The following is a 25,098-nucleotide window of genomic DNA, read 5'->3' as shown; positions in this document are numbered from 1 at the left end:
GGGCGCCTCTGCCCGGCCGCCCCTACTGGGAAGTGAGGAGCCCCTCTGCCTGGCCAGCTGCCCCATCCGGGAGGGAGGTGGGGGGGTCAGCCCCCCGCCTGGCCAGCCGCCCCGTCCGGGAGGGAGGGAGGGGGTCAGCCCCCCACCCGGCCAGCCGCCCCGTCCGGGAGGTGAGGGGCGCCTCTGCCCGGCCGCCCCTACTGGGAAGTGAGGAGCCCCTCTGCCCGGCCAGCCGCCCCGTCCGGGAGGGAGGTGGGGGGGTCAGCCCCCCGCCCGGCCAGCCGCCCCGTCCGGGAGGGAGGTGGGGGGGTCAGCCCCCCGCCCGGCCAGCCGCCCCGTCCGGGAGGTGAGGGGCGCCTCTGCCCGGCCGCCCCTACTGGGAAGTGAGGAGCCCCTCTGCCCGGCCACCACCCCGTCTGAGAGGTGTACCCAACAGCCCATTGAGAACGGGCCATGATGACAATGGCAGTTTTGTGGAATAGAAAGGGGGGAAAGGTGGGGAAAAGATTGAGAAATCGGATGGTTGCCATGTCTGTGTAGAAAGAGGTAGACATGGGAGACTTTTCATTTTGTTCTGTACTAAGAAAAATTCTTCTGCCTTGGGATCCTGTTGATCTGTGACCTTACCCCCAACCCTGTGCTCTCTGAAACATGTGCTGTGTCCACTCAGGGTTAAATGGATTAAGGGCGGTGCAAGATGTGCTTTGTTAAACAGACGCTTGAAAGCAGCATGCTCGTTAAGAGTCATCACCACTCCCTAATCTCAAGTACCCAGGGACACAAACACTGCGGAAGGCCGCGGGGTCCTCTGCCTAGGAAAACCAGAGACCTTTGTTCACTTGTTTATCTGCTGACCTTCCCTCCACTATTGTCCTGTGACCCTGCCAAATCCCCCTCTGCGAGAAACACCCAAGAATGATCAATAAAAAAAAAAAAAAATTAGCTGGACATGGTGTTACATGCCTATAGTCCTAGCTACTAGGGAGGCTGAGGTGAGAGAATCCCTTGAGCTTAGGAGGTCAAGGCTGAAGTGAGCCATGATCATGCCACTGCACTCCAGCTTGGGCAACAGAGTGAGACTCTGCCTCAAAAAAAACACAAACCAAAAACCAAAAGACTAATAGAACTACTACTGTGTACATTTTAAAAGTCAGTTTTACTGTAAGTTAATTCATTTTTTTAAATTAAGAACAGTTCTCGACCGGGCACGGTGGCTCACGCCTGTAATCCCAATACTTGGGAGGCTGAGGCAGGTGGATCACCTGAGGTCAGGAGTTCAAGAACAGCCTGGCCAACATGGCGAAACCCTGACTCTACTAAAAGTACAAAAATTAGCCAGACATGGTGACAGGCACCTGTAATCCCAGCTACTCAGGAGGCTGAGGCAGGATAATTGCTTGAACCTGGGAGGCAGAGGTTGCAGTGAGCTGAGATCACGCCATTGCACTCCAGCCTGGGTGACAGTGCAAGACTCCCTCTCAAAAAAAACAAAAAACAAAAAACAAAAAAAACTAGAAAATACTATAAGTAGAAATGGTGATTAGATAGGGTGGGCATGCAACCTAGCATGCCAGTGAAGCATGAGGGGAAGACTGCTGCTGCTGGGGGGCTTCTTACTCCTGAGGAGGCTCCCAGAGGGACAGTCCCTTTCTGCCTTTGAATAGTGTGGTACCACGTGCTGTCTGGATCCACTACAGCCACCTCCCGACTTGCTTGAGGATAATGCCAACACAGAGAGGAGGGCAGTGCCTCAAAAAGAGCAGAGAAGAGGAGTCAGACCCCTACCTGTGTTAGATGAGAAAGCATGTGCCTTTACTGTTTGTACCAACTGAGTTTGGCCAGAACCAAAGTTGTGTCCTAGTTGAGCACCTAGGACAGAATATTGAAGGAGGTGCTCACTCTCGGATGCTGATGCTACACTTGCCAACCCTGAGAGTGAGCATCTCCTTAAATGTACACCCCAGGTGCCTCACTCAGCTCACCCTGGTCCTGTTCGTGTTTGACTTAGGGCTTTTTGGACTTACAGCTGAAAGATTCTAACTGGTAAGGGGAGGACACACTAGAATTTAAGGAATGGGCAGATAAGAGGAACCCCGAAAAGGAGATAAAAGGCAGCTGCTCTTATTTGGGCCAAAGCAATGTTATATAATATCAATGCCAGGGGCCACCCCAGCCTAATATTAAAGGAATTGTCTTCCAAGTTTGTAGTAGTAGTTGTATTATTTTCATGATTTTCCAAAGAGTGTTACTGCATCTCTCTTTTTTTTTTCTCTCTCTCTCTCCCTCCCTCCCTCTCTCTCTCTCTTTTGAGACGGAGTCTCGCTCTGTCACCCAGGCTGGAGTACAGTGGCACGACCTCGGCTCATTGCATGCTCCGCCTCCTGGGTTCATGCCATTCTCCTGCCTCAGCCTCCTAAGTAGCTGGGACTACAGGCGCCCGCCACCACGCCCGGCTAATGTTTTTGTATTTTAAGTAGAGACAAGGTTTCACCATGTTAGCCAGGATGGTCTTGATCTCCTGACCTCGTGATCCGCCCACCTTGGCCTCCCAAAGTGCTGTGGTTACTGGCATGAGCCACCATGCCCAGCCTCTCTCTTTTCTTTTCTTTCTTTTCTCTTCTCCTCTTTGCTTTTCTCTATCTCTCCTTCTTTCTTCTTCTTCTTTTTTTTTTTTTTTAAAGTGTTGCTCTGTTGCCGAGGCTGGAGTGCAGTGGCATGATCTCAGCTCACTGCAACCTCTGCCTCCCAGGTGCAGGCAATTCTCCCTGCCTCAGCCTCCCATGTAGCTGCGATTACAGGTGCCTGCCACCACGCCCAGCTAATTTTTAGTGTTTTTAGTAGGGACAGCGTTTTGCCATGTTGGTCAGGCTGGTCTCAAACTCCTGACCTCAGGTGATCTGCCTGCCTCTGCCTCCCAAAGTGCTGGGATTACAGGTGTGAACCACTGCACCCAGCCTTTTTTTTTTTTTTCTTTTCTTTTCTTTTTATGAGACAGTGTCTCGGCTGGGAACAGTGACTCACACCTATAATCCCAGCACTTTGGGAGACCAAGGCAGGATTGCTTGAGCCTAGGAGTTTGAGACCAGCCTGGGCAACATACCAAGATCTTGTCTCTACAAACAATAAAAAAATGAGCTGGGCATGGTGGCACACACCTGTAGTCCCAGCTACTTGGGAGACTGAGGTAGGAGGATGGCTTGAGCCCAGGAGGTTGAGGATGCAGTGAGCCTCAATCATAGCTCACTGTAACTTGGAACTCCCAGGCTCCAGGGATCCTCCACCCTCAGCCTCCCGAGCAGCTGGGACTATAGGCATGCACCACCACAGTCAGCTAATTTTTTTAAAAAATTTTTTCTGTTTTTTTTCTTTTTGAGATGGTGTCTCTCTCTGTTGCCAGGCTGGAGTGCAGTGGCATGATCTTGGCTCACTGCAACCTCCGCCTCCTGGTTTCAAGCAATTCTGCCTCAGCCTCCTGAATAGCTGGGACTACAGGCGCACGCCACTATGCCCAGCTAATTTTTGTATTTAGAGTAGAGACGGGGTTTTGCCATGTTGGCCAGGATGGTCTCGATCTCTTGACCTCGTGATCCGCCCACCACAGCCTCCCAAAGTGCTGGGATTACAGGCATTAGTCACCGTGCCCGGCCTATTTTTTGAATTTTTTTAGAGACAGGGTCTCACTTTGTTGCCCAGGCTGGTCTCAAACTCCTGGCCTCAGGCAATTTTCTCACCTCTGCTTCCTAAAGGGCTGAGATTGCGGGTGTTAGCCATCATGCTCCTGGCCTGTTACTGTATTATTTCCTTTCTGGTTGAAACCTTTTTTTTTTTTTTGAGAGACAGAGTCTCACTCGCCCAAGATGGAGTGCAACGGCCCAATTTCGGCTCACTGCAACCTTTGCCTCCTGGGCTCAAGTGATTCTCCTGCCTCAGCCTTCCAAGTAGCTGGGATTACAGGCACCTGCCACCACGCCTGGCTAATTTGGGTTTCACCATGTTGGCCAGGCTGGTCTTGAACTGCTGACCTCAAGTGATCCACCTGCCTCAGCCTCCCAAAGTGCTGGGATTATAGGTGCTAGCCACTGCACCTGGCTTCCCGACTGAAACCTTTTTTTTTTTTTAAATGGAGTCTCACTCGTCGCCCAGGCTGGAGAGCAATGACGCGATTTCGGCTCACTGCAACCTCTGCCTCCCAGGTTCAAGTGATTCTCCTCGCTCAGCCTCCTCCAAGTAGCTGGGATTACAGGCATGCACCACCACGCCCAGCTAATTTTTGTATTTTTAGTAGAGACAGGGTTTCACCATGTTGGCCAGGCTGGTCTCCAAACTCCTGACTTCAGTTGATCCGCCCTCCTCGGCCTCCCAAAGTGCTGGGATTACAGGTGTAAGCCACCGCGTCCGGCCATCTGACTGAAATCTTAGTAGAATGTCTGCTAATGTTCTAATAAAGCACTTAGTAGGATGTTTGTTAATTTTAAACTTCGTATGATTGTTCATTTGTTAAACTGTGCTGTGATCAGAGGATTTGACCTCAACAATTTTTGCTTATTTGGATTTATTAAAAAATTTTGTGGGCCAGGTGTGGTAGCTCATGCCTGTAATCCCAGCACTTTGGGAGGCCGAGGTGGGCAGATCACCTGAGGGCTGGAGTTGGAGACCAGCCTGGCAAACATGGTGAAACCCAGTCTCTACTAAAAATACAAAACTTAGGGCGTGGCAGTGGGTGCCTGTGATCACAGCTACTTGGGAAGCTGAGGCAGGAGAATTGCTTGAACCAGGGAGATGGAGGTTGCAGTGAGCTGAGACCGTGCCACTGCACTCCAGCCTGGGCAACAGAGCGAAACTACATCTCAAAAAAAAAAAAAAACAAACAAACAAATTTTGTGGTCCAGTAAAGGATAAGTTGTTGTCAATGTTCCAGAGATACTGGGAGTGGTGGTGATGTATTTTATGTAGGTGGAGGACACAGCGTAAGTTTTTATACCTTACTAATTCTGCTGTTTAGCTCATCTTTATTTTTGTTTATATGTCACAGTCTGATAATGGTATATCATATTTTACTATAATTATAGTTCACTGCAGCCTCAAACTCCTGAGCTCAAGCCATCCTTCCATGTCAGTCTCCCAAGTAGATAGGACTGCAGATGCATGCCACCACACGTGACTAATTTTTAAAACTTTTTTTTTTTAGAGAGGGGCTTCGCTACATTGCCCAGGATGATCTGTAACTCCTGGCCTCAAGAAATCCTCCTGCTTTGGCCTCCCAAAACACTGGGATTACAGGTGTGAGCCTCTGAGCCCAGCCTATAACTGTGTTTCTATTAGCTGTGTTCCTATAGACTTTTTTTTTTTTTTTTTGAGACGGAGTCTCGCTCTGTCGCCCAGGCCGGACTGCGGACTGCAGTGGCGCAATCTCGGCTCACTGCAAGCTCCGCTTCCCGGGTTCACGCCATTCTCCTGCCTCAGCCTCCCGAGTAGCTGGGACTACAGGCGCCCGCCACCGCGCCCGGCTAATTTTTTGTATTTTTTTAGTAGAGACGGGGTTTCACCTTGTTAGCCAGGATGGTCTCGATCTACTGACCTCATGATCCACCCGCCTCGGCCTCCCAAAGTGCTGGGATTACAGGCGTGAGCCACCGCGCCCGGCCGACTTTTTTTTTTTTTTAAAGAGACAAGATCTTGTTATGTTGCCCAGGCTGGAATGCAGTGCATATTCACAAGCATGATCATATGGCACTACAGCTTCAAACTTCCAGTCTTAATAGTCTTAAGTGATCCTCCAGCCTCTGTCTCCTGAGTAGCTGGGACGATAGGTATGTGCCACCACACCCGGCTCTGCTTCTTGTTTTGTGTTGTTATGTTATTTGGTGCCTTTAGTTTCACAATGCCTTTTTTTTTTTTTGAGACAGGATTTTGCTCTGTTGGCCAGGCTGGAGTGCAGTGATGTGATCATAGCTTACCGCAGCCTCTAACTCCTGAGCTTAAGGGATTCTCCTGCCTCAGCCTCCTGGATAGCTGGAACTACAAGTGTGTACCACCACACTCAGTTAATTTTTTAATTTTTATTTTTGTAGAGACAGAGTCTTGCTATGTTGACCTGGCTGGTCTTGAACTCCTGGCCTCAAGTAATCCTCCCACCTCAGCCTCTCAAAGCAGTGGGATTACAGGTGTGAGCCACCATGTCCAGTAACAAAGCCTTTTTATATTATATATATTATTAGTATACATACTACTAATATGTATATATATGCATATACATACTATATATATACACACACATAAATAGGCATATCTTTTTAAACAACAGTATATATTCAGTTTGCTTTTTGATGTGATCTGAAGTTTTAATATTTTAAATAGTAATTTTAGAAGTTTACATTTTTACTTGTTTACATTTGGCTTGTTATACGTAATCTAACCTTTGCTCATCTAATTTTCTAATTTTCTGGTGTTTTGATATTCTTGTTTATAATTTCTTGCCATTTCTTTTTTTAATTTACAAATGTGAGGAAAGTATCTAGTATACTTCCTAAGACTCTTGATTTTTGCTGTATGAATTACGTTGTTCCTTTCGTCTCATGTAATGAATTATAAGGTATACATAAGGCTTTTTACACTGAAAAATTATATGAACTTATATATTTTTTTAAATAACTTTTATCCTCATGTTACATAAAACAAAGACATAGTCTCTGGCTTTTCTATCCTCTTTCTTCTCCCCTGGTTTCCACTGCATAATCTCAGGTTTAAAACCCTATTTTTAAAGATCTTCGTTCTCAACTTTTTATTTTGCATTTTGTTTGTTACCATAGCAACAATTATTTCAACTTATCAGTATCAGTCTCTACTGAGTGGTGTTTTTATTCCGTTATCTCTCTATCTTTAGCTAGTTTCAAGGCTCATTGCCAGTTCTTTTCTCTCATTTCATCATTCATGAGTTTCTGATTCATGTCTCACAATTTATTGCACAGTTCTGAGCAATTTCTGCAGAAAAATGAGTTAATTGGGTAGTGCATTAGTCAGAACTCTTATGGCTTTAAGTGACAGAAACCTAAAGTTCAGGCTTAGCTATATACAGCCTCAAACTGCAGCAGGAAGGAATTGTCTTCATCTCTGTCTTCCTCTCGGAGGGTGTTTCTTGCATCGTGGCATGTCTGGCCACAGACTCACATTCACTTCCCACCACCCCAGCAAAAAGGGAACACCTTTTTCCTAATAGTTTCTGCAAAAGTCTGAGCTGAATATCATTGGCTTGAATCAGGTCACATGCCCATCCTTTGAACCAATGTCTGTGTTCTGATTAGGGAGCCCTGGGTCACATGGTTCTCTTGAACTTGGGGATGAGGCCAGCCCTTCAAACTACATGAGTGCAGAAGGGACAGGTCACCAAATAAAAACTGGGTTGGCCAGGCATGGTGGCTCATGCCTGTAATCCCAGCACTTTGGGAGGCCGAGGTGGGCAGCTCAACTGAGGTCAGAAGTTTGAGACCAGCCTGGCCAACGTGGTGAAACCCCATCTCTACTAAAAATACAAAAATTAGCTGGGCATGGTGGTGAGTGCCTGTAATCCCACCTACTTTGGAGGCTGAGGCTGGAGAATCACTTGAACCCCGGAGGCGGAGGTTGCAGTGAGCCAAGATTGTGCCATTGCACTCCAGCGTGGATGACAAGAGCAAGACTCCATCTCAAAAAAAAAAAAATCTAGGTTGCTGCTACCAGAAGGAGGAGTCAATGCTGGGTAGATGTCCATTGTTTTCTAAGATTCTGCAGATCTGTGAATTATTGCCACCGTATTGAGTCAGTAAGAAAGACATTCAGGTAGTCGGCCTTATGCTTAGATGGTAGCTTAGTTATTGTCTTACCATGTTCCAGAGGCTAGTTCTCCACTGTGTTTCCAGAAACTTGTTGTTGTCGGAGCTAGATGATTGTTCCCTCTGGGCCTGGCTCATGCTAACCTGACTCAGTAGAGACCGATGAGACTAAACCCCATCTTAGAATGAACAGTCATTGCCATAGGACCCAAATGGGGTTGTCCTCTGGTCAGGGAACTTTCCCCATCAGAAAATCACAAGTGAACCCAAACTCTAATCATAAGGTTGCTTAGTGCCCATGGAACTAGGCAAGAGGCGCTCTCTGGAGAAAATTAACAGTCAGACGCATCATCCCATAACAGTGTGGTAGTTTTAAATGTCCACCAATGCTGGAATAGCGCAGAGACAACATGTTACAGGGAGGGAGACTGATACATGCTAAAACCAAAAGACACGAGAGTACTGAGGGTAGATTAGCATGGCTGGTGCGTGGAAAGCAAGGGTCAGGGAGAGAAGAGGAGATTAGGGTGGAGAGGTAGCCAGCAAAGCTCTCACTCTGAGTGTGATGGGGAGCCACTTAAGAAGGAGAGGGACAGGCTGGGTGCAGTGGCTCACGCCTGTAATCCTAGTACTTTGGGAGGCTGAGGCGGTGGATTGCCTGAGCTCAGGAGTGCGAGACCAGCCTGGGCAACACCTGTCTCTACTAAAATACAAAAAATTAGCTGAGCATGGCGGCATGCACCTGAAGTCCCAACTACTTGGGAGGTTGAGGCAGGAGAATTGCTTGAACCTGGGAGGCAGAGGTTACAGTGAGCCAAGATTGTGCCCCTGCACTCTAGCTTGGGCAACAGAACAAGACTCCACCTCAAAAAAAAAAAAAAAAAAAAAAAAGAAGGGGAGGGACAGCCAGTCGTGGTGGCTTATGCCTGTAAGCCTAGAACTTTGGGAGGCCAAAATGGGAGGATCATTTGAGGCTAGGAGTTTGAAACCAGCCTGGGTAACACGGTGAGATCTTGTCTCTACAAAAACTTTTAAAAATTAGCCAGGCATGGTGGTACGTGCCTGTAGTCCTGGCTACTTGGGAGGCTATGGCAGCAGGATGGCTTCAGCCCAGGAGTTCAAGGCTGCAGTGAGCTATGATTATACCACTGCACTCCAGCCTGGACAACAGAGCAAAACCCTGTCTCCTAAAAAATTAAAAAAAAAAAAAAGAAGAAGAAGAAGAGGAGGAGGGACAGTCAGATTTGTTGTGGAAAGATTGATCTGGGTTTAGGAGAAAGAAATGGCTGGGCGTGGTGGCTCCTGCCTGTAATCCCAGCACTTTGGGAGGCCGAGGCGGGCGGCTCATGAGGTCAGGAGATCAAGACCATCCTGGCTAACACGGTGAAACCCTGTCTCTACTAAAAATACCAAAAATTAGCCGGACGTGGTGGCAGGTGCCTGTAGTCCCAGCTACTCGGGAGGCTGAGGCAGGAGAATGGCATGAACCCGGGAGGCAGAGCTTGCAGTGAGCCGAGATCGCGCCACTGCACTCTAGCCTGGGCGACAGAGCGAGACTCCATCTCAAAAAAAAAAAAAAAAAAAAAGAGAAAGAAACAATTGGACCAGGGCACACTGAAAGCAGAAAACTTAATTAAGGATATTGTGGTAGCCTTGGTTAGAGAGTTGACACAACACATGAACCAGCAGAGTGGCACCGGGGATGAAGTGGTGACATTTAAAACAGTGCTTCTCAGCCAGGCACGGTGGCTCATGCCTGTAATCCCAGCACTTTGGGAGGCCGAGGTGGGCGGATCACCTCAGGTCAGGAGTGCAAGATCAGCCTGGCCAACATGGCAAAACCCTGTCTCTACCAAAAATACAAAAATTAGCTGGGTGTGGTGGTGGGCACCTGTAATCCTAGCTACTCAGGAGGCTGAGGCAGGAGAATTGCTTGAACCAGGGAAGCAAAGGTTGTAGTGAGTTGAGATTGTGCCACTGCACTCCAGCTTGGGTGACAGAGCAGAACTTCATCTCAAAAAAAAAGTAAAATAAATAAAAACAGTGCTTCTCAAAGTTTAACATGCATATCAATCACCTGGGTATCTTATTAAAATCCTGATTTTATTCAGGTTGGGTCTGAGATGCTGCATTTCTAACAAACTTGTGAATAATGCTGATGCTGCTGGTCTGGATACCACTTTTATTGTTTTTCGAGACATACTTTTTTTTGATGTTTGTCGATGTCTTGCTCTGTCTCCAAGGCTGGAATGCAGTGGTGCAATCACGGTTCATTGCAACCTCGACCTCCCAGCTAAGCTGATCCTCCCATCTCAGCCTCCTGAGTAGCTGGGGCCATGGGTGCCACTACGCTGGCTAGTTTTTTGTTTGTTTGTTTTTTTGAGATGGAGTTTTGCTCTGTTGCCTAGGCTGGAGTGCAGTGGCACGATCTTGGCTCATTGCAACCTCCGCCCCTCCTGGGTTCAATCAATTCTTGTGCCTCAGCCTCCTAAGTAGCTGGGATTACAGGGGTCTGCCACCATGCCTGACTAATTTTTGTATTTGTATTTTTTTTTTTTTTGAGGAGTCTCGCTCTGTCACCCAGGCTGGACTGCAGTGGCACTATCTCGGCTCACTGCAAGCTCCACCTCCCAGGTTCACGCCATTCTCCTGCCTCAGCCTCCCTAGTAGCTGGGACTACAGGCGCCCGCCACCACGCCCAGCTAATTTTTTGTATTTTTAGCAGAGACGGGGTTTCACCGTGTTAGCCGGGATGGTCTTGATCTCCTAACCTCGTGATCCGCCCGTCTCGGTCTCCCGAAGTGCTGGGATTACAGGTGTATTTGTATTTTTTTTTTTTGAGATGGAGTTTTGCTCTTGTCACCCAGGCTGGGGTGCAATGGCATGATCTTGGCTCACCGCAACCTCCGCCTCTCAGGTTCAAGTGATTCTCCTGCCTCAGCCTCCTGAGTAGCTGGAATTACAGGTGCATGCCACCACCATACCCAGCTAATTTTTGTATTTTTAGTACAGGCAGGGTTTCAACATGTTGGCCAGGCTGGTCTTGAACTCCTGACCTCAAGCGATCCACGCCACCTCGGCCTCCCAAAGTGCTGGGATTATAGATGTGAGCCACCACACCCGGCCACACCTGGCTAGTTGTAAAATTTTATGTAGAGATGGGGTCTCCCTATGTTGCCCAGTCTCAAACTCCTGAGCTCAAACAATCCTCCTGCCTCAGCCTCCCAAAGTGCTGGGATTACACACATGAGCTACCACACCTGGCCTGGAGATCAGACTTTAGGTAGTAAAGATTTCTGAACTATTAAAGAAACAGAATTTATAGTTCATAATTGATTGGATGGGGTACAGGGTAAGGCTTGAGGTAAAATGTGTTGTTAAAGATTATAGTGAACTCTCCAACTTAAGTGTCTGGGTGAAGGTGATGCTATCCACAGATACAAGATAAACAACAGGTTTAGGTGAGGTAGGTAACAGATAACATTTAGTGGGTACATAACATAATATGTGTCAGGCTCTTCACATATGTTGTCTTATGTACTCTGTCCAACAGACTTATGTGAGGTAGGCATTATTGTGATCCCATTTTAAGTCTGAGGAAAATGAGGACAAGGTCACACAGCTGGTAAGCAGAGCAGCCAAGATTCAAACAGTCTCAGCACAGAACTCATGCAGTTAACCAATGGTGGTTTAAATTTGTGGCACTGAAACACCTGTGGGATGTCACATGGAGCTGTCCTGTGTGCAGGTGGACATGCTGACCTGGAATTCAGGAGAGATCTTCTGAGCAATAAAGATCCAGGAAATGAGGGGCACGGTGGCTCACACCTGTATTCTTAGCACTTTGGGAGGCCGAGGTGGGCAGATCACGAGGTCAGGAGTTTGAGACCAGCCTGGCCAATATGGTGAAACCCCGCCTCTACTAAAAGTACAAAAAATAAATTAGCTGGGCGTGGTGGTGCATGCCTGTAATCCCAGCTACTCGGGAGGCTGAGGCAGAAAAATTGCTTGAACCTGGGAGGTGGAGGTTGCCGTGAGCCGAGATCACCCTACCACACTCCAGCCTGGGCAACAGAGTGAGACTCTGTCTCAAAAAAAAAAAAAAAAGATCTGGGAGGAAGGAGGTGCATACCAATAGTCCCAGTTACTTGGGAGGCTGAAGTAGGAGAATGGTTTGAGGCCAGGAGTTCAAAACCAGCCTGGGCAACAAGTGAGACCCCGTCTCTCTCTATTTTTTTTTTTTTTTTGAGATGGAGTCTCACTCTGTTACTCAGGCTAGAGTGCAGTGGTGTGATCTCTGCTCACTGCAACCTCCACCTCCTGAGTTCAAGAGACCTTCCCGCCTCAGCCTCCCAAGTAGCTGGGATTACAGGTATGAGCCACCATGCCTAACTAATTTTTCTGTATTTTTAGTAGAGACAGGGTTTTGTCATGTTGGCCAGGCTTATCTCAAACTCCTGACCTCAGGTGATCCGCCCACCTCGGCCTCCCAAAGTGCTGAATTATGGGCGTGGGCCACCGCGCCTGGCCCCCGTCTCCTTTTATATATAATTTTCCAAAAAAAAAAAAAAAAAAAAAAGATCTAGGAGGAATTAAGGCACTGGAGTGAATGAAATCATCTATGAAGGGTCAAAATCTACCCCTTCAAAGTGTTGTCAATCTTGTTCTATTTTCCTTTGTCTTTTAAGTGTTGCAGAGGAGAAATCTGAAGAAAGCCAGTTTTTAGCTTTTTTTTTGAGATGGAGTCTCGTTCTTGCCACCATCTATGAATCTATGAAGGGTCGAAACCTACCCCTTCAAAGTGTTGTCAATCTTGTTCTATTTTCCTTTGGCTTTTAAGTGTTGCAGAGGAAAAATCTGAATAAAGCCAGTTTTTAGCTTTTTTTTTTTTTAAATGGAGTCTCGTTCTTATCACCCAGACTGGAGTGCAATGGTGCAATCTCGGCTCACTGCAACCTATGCCTTCCGGGTTCAAGCGATTCTCCTGCCTTAGCCTCCCAAGTAGCTAGGATTACAGGTGCCAGCCATCATGCTCGGCTAATTTTTGTATTTTCAGTAGAGACAAGGTTTTACCACGTTGGCCAGGCTGGTCTCGAACTCCTGACCTCAGGTGATCCACCCGCCTCAGCCTCCCAAAGTGCTGGGATTACAGGTGTGAGCCACCTCGCCCAGCCATCTTTTTTTCCCCCGGAGACGGAATCTCACTCTGTTGCCCAGACTGGAGTGCAGTGGCACGATCTCGGCTCACTGCAACCTCCACCTCCTGGATTCAAGCAATTCTCCTGCCTCAGCCTCCCAAGAAGCTGGAATTACAGGCACACACCACCACACCCAGCTAATTTTTGTATTTTTAGAAGAGATGGGGTTTCGCCATGTTGGCCAGGCTGGTCTAGAACTCCTGACCTCATGATCCGCCCGCCTCGGCCTCCCAAAGTGCTGGGATTACAGGCACGAGCCACCGTGCCTGCTGGCCAGCTTTTTTATAAATAACATTTTTTTCCCTAATTGGGTCTATTAGTGTCTGTTCTTTATCCCTGAAACTTAATGATTTTCCCAGATTATGTGTTGTTGGTTTCTTCTTAATTTTTCTCAATCTCAGTGAACCCACTCTATTTCCCACCTCCACCTCAGACCTTTTTGCAACCTAAGGAAACTTTTCTCCTATTGTAATTTTGATTATTCGCTCTAACCGATTTGCTCTGTCTTCCTGTGGGGATGCCTAGAGTTAGAATCCCTAGATGCTGTCCATCCCCATTATCTTCTCTTACAGGATTCCATCACTTTGTTCTATATTCTTGAAAATTTTCTCATGTTTATCTTCTATATTGCTGATGTACTCTTCTGCATCAAGTCTACTTTTTTTTTTTTTTTTTTTGAGACGGAGTCTTGCTCTGTCACCCAGGTTGGAGTGCAGTGGCGTGACCTCGGCTCACTGCAAGCTCCGCCTCCCGGGTTGACGCCATTCTCCTGTCTCAGCCTCCGGAGTAGGTGGGACTACAGGCACTCGCCACCACGCCCGGCTAATTTTTTTTTTTTTTTTTTTTGTATTTTTAGTAGAGACGAGGTTTCACCATGTTAGCCAGGATGGTCTCGATCTCCTGACCTTGTGATCCGCCCATCTCGGCCTCCCAAAGTGCTGGGATTACAAGCGTGAGCCACCGCACCCGGCCTCTTTTTTTTTTTTTTTTTTGAGACGGAGTCTCACTCTGTGGCCCAGGCTGGAGTGCAGTGGCGCGATCTCAGCTCACTGTAACCTCTGCCTCCCGAGTTCAAGCAATTCTCCTGCCTCAGCCTCCCGAGTAGCTGGGACTACAGGCACACCGGCAGGCCCAGCTAATTTTTTGTATCTTAGTAGAGACGGGGTTTCACCATGTTGCCCAGGCTGGTCCCCAGTTTCTGAGCTTGGGCAATCTGCCCTCCTCCGCCTCCCAAAGTGCTGGGATTACAGGCGTGAGCCACCGCGCCCGGCCGGTTATTGTGGTTTTAATTTCATGGTACTCCATTTATCTTGGCCTGTTTTTTAAAAAAATATGCAATGTCCTCTTTTGAGAATAAGAATTAGGTATTTTCTTTTTATTATTATTATTATACTTTAAGTTTTAGGGTACATGTGCACAATGTGCTGGTTAGTTACATATGTATACATGTGCCATGCTGGTGTGCTGCACCCATTAACTCAAGAATTAGGTATTTTCTAAAATTGGGTCCTGCTTCATGGGCTAAATATATTTTGAAGGAGTAAATTTTGGCTGGAGCAGTTTATTCCTTTTCTCATGTGTCACATCCTTTTTCCCCCACAGGATTTTTTGTTTGTTTGTTTCTCTGTTTTAGAGACAGGGTATTGCTGTGTTGCCCAGGCTAGTCTTGAATTCTTGGGCCCAAGTTGGGATTACAGGCGTGAGCCACCACACCAGCTTCCACCAGAGAGTTAAACAAACAAACAAACAAAAAACTTTGTTTATTCTCCTTTGAGATTGACTAATTAATCTTTGTTGATGTCTAGAAGTCAAGAGTTGATGGTTTTAAACTTGGAAGAGTTGAACAAAGAGGATATAGGGTCTGCCGCTCTTCCTTCTCCCTCCAAACATGGCAGGGGAAAAGGTTCAGAAGCAGTGCCTGGGTCATTGTCCGTCTCGTTGTCTTAGCTTTCCTTGGTATCCACCTGCTTCAGGACTCTAATTTTTATTTTTTCAACCTCTGTTGTTTGTGACTGTTTCTTAACCTGGTGTGTCTCTTTTTCTCTAAACCTCGATGTTTTGGTTTTAGTGACTCTATCTTTGCATTTCTATTTCATTACCTGCTCTGTCAGCATTTCTGCCTATCTGTACCAATCTCGGTCTGTCTCTGAACGCAAATGTATCTCTCATGTGTTTCGACCCACCACCCCCTAATCCCTTACTCTCTGCTTTGTCCTCCTGCCTCAGCCTCCCAAGTAGCTGGGATGACAGGCGCCCACCACTGCGCCCGGCTAATTTTTGTATTTTTAGTAGAGACAGGGTTTCGCCATGTTGGCCAGGCTGGTCTTGAACTCCTGACCTCGTGATCCGCCCGCCTCGGCCTCCCAAAGTGCTAGGATTACAGGCGTGAGCCACCTCGCCCGGACTTAATTTTTGTATTTTTAGTAGAGACCTGGTCTCAAACTCCTGACCTCAAGTGATCCGCCCGCCTCGGCCTCCCAAAGTGCTGGGATGATAGGCGTGAGACACCGCGCCCTCCCTTCTGCTTTGTACTTCTTCATCGTACTTATCACAACTTGAGCATTACACGTATTTGTCTGTCTCCTCTCTCTAAAAGGTAACTTCTATAAGGGTGGATCCCCAGGAACATGGAGTGTGCTCAACAAACATCTGAACTAACCTGATTGGCGTATCCTCTCAGTGTCTCCTTTTAGTCTCGACAATTGTGTTTCACACTTTCTCAGTATGCAAATATCTTTCTCGGTCTGGGTCATGCCTTTCGGTTTCTGCCCCAGTGCAGAGGCCTCTAAGTTTATCAGCGTGTGGACCACAGATTCGCAGAGGCCTGAGCTGCGGCGCTGCCGGGATATGGCGCGTCGTCGGGCCTCAAGCACAGCCCGGGGTCCCTCGCTGGCTCTGTTCGGACCCTGCTCGGTCGCTCGCCTGGGCCCCAGCCATCTCTCACTTCAGCCCATGAGTTCTGCCCCACGTCTGTCTCCCTGGGTGTCTTAAGAGACGCGACCCGCACCGACGCCCCCGCGAATGCACCGCGAATGCACGTGACCGCGCCTAGTGGCGCCCCCTCAGTCAACGCCGTCGCAGTGCCCCTCCCGAAGCCCGCCGCTTCCGCCGGCCCGCGCGGCCCCGCCCCCAGCCGCGAGGAACCAATCCGCATGCACACTTCTTGTCCCCGCCCCGGCACCCTCCTCGGCGCGCGCCCCTCCCTCCGCCCGCCCGCCGGCCCGCCCGTCAGTCTGGCAGGCAGGCAGGCAATCGGTCCGAGTGGCTGTCGGCTCTTCAGCTCTCCCGCTCGGCGTCTTCCTTCCTCCTCCCGGTCAGCGTCGGCGGCTGCACCGGCGGCGGCGCAGTCCCTGCGGGAGGGGCGACAAGAGCTGAGCGGCGGCCGCCGAGCGTCGAGCTCAGCGCGGCGGAGGCGGCGGCGGCCCGGCAGCCAACATGGCGGCGGCGGCGGCGGCGGGCGCGGGCCCGGAGATGGTCCGCGGGCAGGTGTTCGACGTGGGGCCGCGCTACACCAACCTCTCGTACATCGGCGAGGGCGCCTACGGCATGGTGTGGTGAGTGTCCGCGACCGGCCACGCCCGGCCCCCCCACCGCCCGGGGCCGCAGCGGACGCAGCCTCGGCCTCGCCCGCGCCTCGGCCTCAGGCGCCGCGGCGACCTCGAACCCGGACTTCACCGCGGTCCGCGCGCCAGGGCTCGGGCGCGGCCCCGGGCCGGTTGAGGTTTAGGTGTTGTTGCTCGCGGTTCCCGGGCCTTCGGTCGCTCGGGAAGGGGCTCAGGGAGTGGCGCGGGGGGCGTAGGCCGGTACTAGTGGACCCTTGGCCCCGGGCGCAGCGCGGCCTTTAAAGTCTGGACCCTCGGGAAGGCAACGGAAGGGTCCCCACCCCTCAATTTGCTAGTATCATGGCCTTCTTTTGGACTTTCGATTGTAAAACTGTGAATTCCATCAGATGCTTGTCGGTGTTGGCGGCGGTGGCTGCTGAGGTCCTGAAAGCGTTTTGCCTCCGCGTGTGTGCAGAACACCGAAATAATCGTTTTTCTCTCTTCGCCTCTGTTTGCAGCCAACGGCTTTCATTAAATATCCTCAGCGGTGCTAATGGTGGTCTCCGCGCAGGCTTTCTAAAATGGATTACTGACGCCAGTGTTGGTGGCATATTTCCGTCTTGAAGTTTTTACTTCTAAGTGGATTTTAATATCGTACTGCTGGCGTTTCAGGAAGGATAAACTAACATTACTCTCTTGATTTGTTAAAGATCCGTTTAGAGTTGGGCCTAATTTGACTTTTTTTTTAGCCCCCAAGTGAGCTCTTTTACCAGCATAAATGCTCCCAGATGTTTTAGCCCAATTGCTATGGACTCCTGTTAATGATTTAGTGGTCATTATGTATGCAGCCTTAATGGAGTTCTTGCAGAATCACACGTAGACTCCCTCATCTTGATTCAGGTCCCTTAGAAAAGTGAAATGATAGTGACGGTTTTTTTTTTCCCCCCGAGACGGGGTCTCGCTCTGTCTCCAGGCTGAAGTGCAGTGGCGTGACCTCGGTTCACTTCAACCTCCGCCTCCTGGGTTCAAGCGATTCTTCTTCCTCAGCTTCCCGAGTAGCTGGGACTACAGGCGCGCGACACCACGCCCGGCCCATTTTTGTATTTTTTAGTAGAGACAGGGTTTCACCATGTTGGCCAGGATGGTATCGATGTATTGATCTCGTGATCCGCCCGCCTCGGCCTCCCAAAGTGCTGGGATTACAGGCGTGAGCCACCGCGCCCGGCTGATGGTAGTTTTTATTAGAGCAAACTAGCGATAGCATTTTGTGCTGGTGAGGACTTGTGGAAATAGATTTCCTTAAATCTGAATCTTGTGAATGTGTCTTTTGTGTTGACTGAAGAAAGTAAACTAATAATTTATTGAACCCTTCGTGGCAGGTACTGTGCTACATATATTATTTCATTTTATTTGAGCAGCCACATTGAGGGAGGAAAAGATGGTGTTATTCCTTTTTTCAGGTGAGAAAGTATTTCGAGGTGAAGCCAATTCTTGAGGTCATAGAACTAGAGTTATTAAGATTGTAGACTGAGATTCTACTAGACACACTGTAGCTCTTTTCAGCTGTTTTTAGGAAAACACTCTGCGTTCCTTAGTGTAATTAATACTTGCAGAATTTTCTGTATCTTACTGTTATAAAGTAAATATAAGTCTGTTTCGGAAATGTATTCAAATTTCAATCATAATTTTAGAAATGCCATAGAAGGTATGTTTTACCAAGTATTGTAGCTAGATAGAAAGATTAGTTAAAATTCTTTTTAAAGAGATTTTAATTGAATCTTTAATGTTTTCACTTTGTTTAGGAGCAAAATGCTGAATACAACTGTGAAAATTAATGTGAACTCACAGGCTTAGGAGCCAAGACAGAATTTAAATTAGGTCGAGCCTGAAAGAAATAAGGCCCTAAAAAGTAATGGAGAGAAAGTATTGCCAGTAGCATCATTTCTCCACCACACATCGCATTGCTGTTGCACTCACTGGGAAGTGTGCCAGTGAACATGTCTCATTATGAGAGGCTCAGAATTTCCCATCACATCCTTTGGCCCTTTTAACAAGATTAGCTTATCTAAAATGTGGACTGAAAAAAGTATTTTACGTTTAGGACATGTCAATTGAAAAGATACCCCCATCTGATAAGATTTCTCCTGTCTGATAAGGTTTTTACTAGTCTGAAGTTGTTTAGATGTGGGAACTACTTCTGTCACTGCTGTAGGCTTGTTTGACCTTCTGACTCTCCATTTGAAATGCTAAGTCCCCTTTTTGTGATTGTCGTTTCCTAAGTGAAATACAAATGTAATTGGAATTTGAATCCAAGATCCAGATTATAGCCTTTTATCAGGTTGATGAAATACCCTGCTGTTAACCTTCTCCATTGCACATTATTAGCATTTAATAAATATTGGCTAACAGTGCTGGATTTATGGAGGGCTCGTTGAAATATTCACTAATATTTGAATGGTGATCTTTTAAAAAATGCTTCCAAAAGGATTTATGGATTTCTAGCCATTTTTTAGATTTACCCCCTTCTGTTTCCTTATCAGTTCATTAGGAATTGTGACTATTTTGTTTAGAGTCCTTTCCTAATGATTATGTAGAGGATGTAAAGATGAAGAGTGGGATTTGAGTTGGGCCTTTAAGAGTGGGTGTGATTTTGATATGCAGATAATAGGAACAAGTGACAGCTTGAGCTGTGGAATCTAATCTTGGAAATGTACTTAGGTGGCAAACTGTAGAGGACTCCAAAGGCAAAACTAAGTTTGACTGTATATTTGTTCAGTGGAGGAAGCATCTTATTTATTTATTTATTTGTTTATTTTTTTTTTTGAGGTGGAGTCTCACTCTTGTTGCCTAGGCTGTAGTGCAGTGGCATGACCTCGGCTCACTGCAACCTCTGCCTCCTAGGTTCAAGCGATTCTCCTGCCTCAGCCTCCTGAGTAGCTGGGACTACAGGCGCGTGCCACCATGCTCAGCTAATTTTTTTTTTGTATTTTTGTAGAGACAGCGTTTTGCCATGTTGGCCAAGATGGTCTCAAACTCCTGACCTCAGGTGGTCCCCCTGACTTCAGCCTCCCAAAGTGCTGTGATTACAGGCTTTAGTCACCGTGCCCGGCCTTTTTTTGAAAGAGGCAGTCATACATGGTCAATTTTGAAATTTTTTGGGAAGACAAATCAACACTAGTGGGAATGAAGGAAGAAGAACCGGAGTGGAGGAATAAATTAGGAAAGCCTAACCACCTAGAGGTGCAGTAATAAAGTGGCAGCGGAAGGTAGCAGATGGAGGTGAGGAGTTTTGTATTGACAGAAATAGTAACAGGGACCCTTGTGGGAAGAGTGGTAAAAAGACTTTTAATCATGGCAAGTCTGAGTGGAATCAAAGGATTATGAGACCTTAAAGGGTAAGAGACCAAGAGAGGTGGGATTTGGATTTGGAGGGATTTCTGAGATAGAACAAGGCTTGCTGGTTGATTGGCTATGGGCGGTTGTTCATTCTGAGGCCTCTAGGTTGGGAGCCTGGGAGATGGTGGTGCCATTATCCAAGTAAAGGAATACTGTTAGAGCAGATTTGTCAGGGGGAAATAGTTCTGGTTTGAACTTAAGTTTGTAATGCCTGTAGGCCATTCAGGCTATATCCAGAAACCATCTTAAAATTTGTAAGAGGGGAGCAGGAGCTGGAGATGAAAATTTGTGTAAATGGTAGTTAAAATCTTGAGTGGATGAGCACAGATTCTTATCTGGGTCATTGGTTAGGTGAAATTGCAATCATGGCCAGGCGCGGTGGCTCACGCCTATAATCCCAGCACTTTGGGAGGCCCAGGTGGGCGGATCACGAGGTTAGGAGATCGAGACCATCCTGGCTAACATGGTGAAACCCTATCTCTACTAAAAATACAAAAAAAAAAAGTAGCCGGCCGTGGCGGTGTGCGCCTGTAGTCTCAGCTGCTGGGGAGGCTGAGGCAGGAGAATGGTGTGAACCCGGGAGGCAGAGCTTGCAGTGAGCCAAGATCGCGCCACTGTACTCCAGCCTGGGTGACAGAGCAAGACTGGGTCTCAAAAAAAAAAAAAAAAGAAATTGTAATTATATGTTTTCTATATTTATCTTTTTGGTTAAAAAATACATAGCATTTGATAGATTTTCAAATGAGTCCATTATCCTGGAAACATTAAGAACCACTGAAGTAGAACAGAGGACCAACCAGGTAACTCTGGCAAAGAAGAGGAAACTGATGACTGGTCAGATGTATAAGGGAACAGTGTAGACGGGGAGGAGGGAGAGGAGGAGAGATTGAAACACTCTTAGTATGCTTGGTCATCTTAGACTAAGATAGCAAGTGTCTATTTTGGTTTAATTGAGTTTGAAATGCTGTTTCTGAATGCGACAAGAGAGCTCATGGGGTCATCTTCATAGAGATATTAATTGAAGCCTTAAGAGTGGATAAGACATCTGAGAACTAAGCCAAAGGAGTGCCTGCCTTTACTGTGTCAATAAAGGTCAAGTTATGGAAGAGGACAGAGGAAATGTGGCCAGAGAGACCAAAGAACTGGGAGTGCACGTTATCAAAGGAGCCAAGGGAGATGGTACTCATTAAGGGATTGGTATTGAGTACTATAGGAGGGAAACAGAATGCAGCTGACAAGCCATTATATTTGTTGACTTTCAGCTCTTTTTTTTTTTGAGACAGAGTCTTGTTCTGTCGCCCAGGCTGGAGTGCAGTTGCACAATCTCGGCTCACTGCAACCTCCGCCTCCTGGGTTCAAGTGATTCTCTTGCCTCAGCCTCCCGAGTAGCTAGGATTACAGGTGTGTGCCACCACACCCGGCTAATTTTTTTATTTTTAGTAGAGACGGGGTATTGCCATGTTGGCCAGGCTGGTCTCAAACTCCTGACCTCAGGTGATCCCCCTGCTTCAGCCTCCCAAAGTGCTAGGATTACAGTGTGAACCACTGTGCCTGGCCTCTTTTTTTTTTTTTTTAAAGCGGGGATGTTCAACTTGGGAAAGCTGAATGAATAAAAGAAAAAAGAGGGGGATGGTTTCAACTAAAATTTCATTGTGATCACATTCCTGATGGTACAATGTCCTCCTGTCTTGTTAAGGTTATTGTGATTATAGCAGACTAGTAGAACTACCACTTTTTCAGCACTCTTGTTTTGTATTTTACATACATTAATGCTAAGCCATATAACTGTACAGCAAAAGTGGTAACTTCTGTTTGTTTTTTACCCCACAAGTGAAGAAACTTGAGGCACACAGAGGTTAGTTAACTTGCCCAATGACACACAGCTAGGAAGTGATGAAGCAACCCCAGTTTTTCTGGTTCCTAAGTAGTGCTCCACCAAAGATCAGAGTTGAGAAAATAGATTATTTCAGTAACAAGAAATATCTGTTGTCTGCTTTTGCTTGTATCACTTTTTAGCCTTTAAAACCTTTCATGTAGAGTTATTTACTCAGAAAATGTTTATTGAACTCTTCATCCAAATAATGGGATGGAATTGGGGAATAATACAGAGAAGATACCAGTGTTACCCAGGAGTTTGTGAAGTGCTGAGAGGAAGAGAAGAGCTGAGTGACTTGGGGCTGTCTTTCTTTGGCTTCCCAGACTTCTGAGCTAGGTGTTGATGTGTGAGTAGGAGTTTGCCTTGAGAAATGCCTTCTAGGCAAAGCGAAGTGTGCATGTAAAGGCACAGACCGTGAACACAGTGCATCAGGTCAGGAAAACCACAAATTACTTGGGAAGGCTGGAGTGTAGGGTGCCTTAGTAAGAAGGTGGGAGTTGAGACAGCTGGGGGTAGGCAGGGCCAAATCCTGAAGGGCATTATTTGGTAAGGACTTTGGACTTGATCTTGTGGGTGACGGAGTCATTAAAGGATGGCCCTGTTTCTGTCTGCCAGTTCCACTCCCACTTTATCTCTTATGCTTTCTGCCCATTTTGCCTACTTACTTACTTTTTTTTTGAGACAGAGTTTTGCTTGGAGGCTCACTGCAACCTTGCCTCCTGGGTTCAAGCAATTCTGCCTCAGCCTCCTGAGTGGCTGGGATTACAGGTGTGTGCTACCATGCCTGGCTAATTTTTGTATTTTTAGTAGAGACAGGATTTCGCCATGTTGTCCAGGCTGGTCTCAAACTCCTGACCTCAGGTGATCCACCTGCCTCGGCCTCCCAAAGTGCTGGGATTACAGGCGTGAGCCATTGCACCTGGCCGCATTGTGCCTACTTTATCTCGTGGTACTCAGTGGGGGTGATTTTACCTCCCTGCTACAGAGGCATTTGGAAATGTATAGGGGGGCGGCTTTTTGTTGTGTTGTCACGTTGATTAGGGGGTGTTATTGGCCGTCAGTAGGCATGTCAAGGGCAGACATGCTAAATGGTCTGGATTGCACGGTACACTCCCTCCACTGGAGAATCATCCTGCCAAGATGCCCATAGTACAGCACCCCAGCCTGCCCCAAGAAACATCAGGCTCTATTTAAGTCCCGCTTTTCTCTAAAGCTCATCTCTATGAACTTTGCCCTATTGCTTCCTGTTAATGCACTCTCTTCATGGATCTCTGCTGGGTGTTTGTACCACCTGTTTGAAAGGCAGGAACAGCAATAACATATATCATATATAAAAACTCTAGACCTGGAGACAGAGATATTGAGATTCTTAATTTTGCTTGCTCATTGTTTACTTAACTTTTTTAATCAAGAAGTCTCCTCTACACTTTTGGAGCTCAAAGATGCAAGGACAGCAGCTTACATGAGTAACAGAAGAATCTAGTGTTTCTGAGCAGAGTTTAGAGTAAAAGGATAAGTCAAAACAAAATTAATTTTTATATTAATAGCATCCCTAATGATGTATTCCTGGTAGTTAGCTATAACCATTACACCATTCCCATAATCTGATTTGTGTAAATTCAAGTTGACTTTTCCCCAAAACTGTATGTAATTTATTCCTCACCTTGCTCACAATTTATATACCTATTAATTGAAAAACACCTCATTCCCCAACAAACATCTAGAGCTCCTTGCCTCCGGCCTACTCCACCCACCCTCTTGCCTAATCCTGAGATGCTATTTTGCTCCCCTTTAGATTTGCTTTTTTTCTTTCACTTCTTGAGGCTCCCACACTGAAAGGTGCCTAGGAGCTCATCCAGTAGCTGCGCTGTCTCTGCTCCCTCTAGGAAAGGCCACCTGCCTGAGCTTTGAAATGGCCCACACCGTACCAGAAGGAAGAAGAGAGATTCCAGGAGGATTCAGACGTTACCCAGGCTTTCTGGAAACTGAGCAGAACCACAGGAGGAGAAAGCTATAGGCAGCTGAACAAAATTTATGTGTTTCTATTTCCCCTGCTATAACATGAAAGGACTGGGCTCTGTCTGTGGTTTTCAAATCTCCTCCTCTCTTAGGGGCTTCAGGCCTCACCCCAAATAGGGAAACTTCACATACAGCATTCTCTCCCCTAATCCCTGTTTTTTCTATTCTTTGCTCTTCTCTTATCTACCTCCTTCCCCTCCCGTTTCCCTTCTTCCTCTGCCCTTAGTCTTTTTTCTTTTTCTTAATTTCCTTTTAGTCATTATCATCTTCAGTTCACATAGGTAGTAACTATTAGGGTTAGCAGGGCAAGATCCCATTTGGAAAAAGGATTTGATTGCTTTGAAAATGATGTTGGGCAACCCACAGGATAGATGGTCTCCAAGGTCCCTCCCAGATTCTCAGACTCAAGGCAGGCCCTGGGGTTTGAACCTATGGCCAGTAGGAGCTGGATAGCAGGTGTCTGCATGGATAATATGCCATGATCAACTGACTAATGTTAGTTGCAAGCCTGCCTTGCTGGTTTAAGCTTCATTCTCATTCTTGTCTTTTTTTTTTTTTTTTTTTTTGAGACAGAGTCTCACTCTGTTGCCCAGGCTGGAGTGCAGTGGCGCGATCTTGGCTCACTGCAACCTCTGCCCCCAGGTTCAAGCAGTTCTCCTGTCTCAGCCTCCTGAGTAGCTAGGATTACAGGTGCCTGCCACTGTACCTGGCTAAGTTTTTTTTTTTTTTTGTAGTTTTTAGTAGAGATGGGCTTTCACCCTGTTGCCCAGGCTGGTCTTGAACTCCTGACCTCGTGATCCATTCGCCTCAGCCTCCCAGAGTGCTGGGATTACAGGTGTGAGCCACCGCGCCTGACCGTCATCCTTGTCTTTGAGGTATTATATTTTGCACTTTACACATAAGGGAACTGGGTGTCAGGTAACTCGTTCAGGGTTCACAGCCAGTAAGTATATTGCAGAACTGAGATGTAAATTGAGATTTATGCAGACCCCAAATCCTGTGACCTTTTTTCTTTTAACTACTATAGGCTTTTCTCTGTTATACCGAGTTACCTAGAAACGTACTTCCTACAGCCTGGGTTCCTGAATGGATTAGCCCTAAAGTATAAAATGATTATGCCATTGCAGACAGACCTGAAGAAGAGGCTAGAAAGGATTAGAGTTAAAGTAACTTTGTTTTTTGTTTTTGTTTTTTCTTTATCTCCAAAGGATCTGTCATCTAGCAACTTAATTTTTATCAGGAAGCAGTATTGATTTCTT

At 47.0% G+C, this 25,098-nt stretch overlaps 1 protein-coding gene across 2 annotated transcripts in view, besides 2 other annotated features; it reads left to right on the top strand.

The window, feature by feature from the left end:
• Positions 298-1,059: an enhancer, noted in NCBI's record as "NANOG-H3K27ac hESC enhancer chr22:22237113-22237874 (GRCh37/hg19 assembly coordinates)". NCBI's record gives its function as "activates a minimal SCP1, AML or CMV promoter by ChIP-STARR-seq in primed H9 embryonic stem cells {active_cell/tissue: H9 hESC(primed)}" and the evidence as "EXISTENCE:reporter gene assay evidence [ECO:0000049][PMID:30033119]".
• Positions 16,067-16,306: a silencer, noted in NCBI's record as "silent region_13517". NCBI's record gives its function as "represses an Ori minimal core promoter by ATAC-STARR-seq in GM12878 lymphoblastoid cells {active_cell/tissue: GM12878}" and the evidence as "EXISTENCE:reporter gene assay evidence [ECO:0000049][PMID:35858748]".
• The window catches only part of MAPK1 (mitogen-activated protein kinase 1), a 108,024-nt gene continuing 99,127 nt past the window's right edge, over positions 16,202-25,098 (top strand). The window contains exon 1 of one of the 2 annotated variants that reach the window (NM_138957.3): positions 16,202-16,560. In NM_138957.3, coding sequence (NP_620407.1) covers positions 16,442-16,560 — 119 coding nt within the window. In that variant the 5' untranslated portion in view covers positions 16,202-16,441. The remainder of the gene's footprint in view (positions 16,561-25,098) is intronic. The other variant, NM_002745.5, reaches the window with a different exon arrangement.

Source organism: Homo sapiens, chromosome 22 (genome assembly GCF_000001405.40).
Source record: "Homo sapiens chromosome 22, GRCh38.p14 Primary Assembly".
In the NCBI taxonomy this organism is placed as follows: domain Eukaryota; kingdom Metazoa; phylum Chordata; class Mammalia; order Primates; family Hominidae; genus Homo; species Homo sapiens.
Note: the sequence above shows the minus strand (reverse complement) of the source record. Positions and strands in the feature narration are given on the sequence as shown.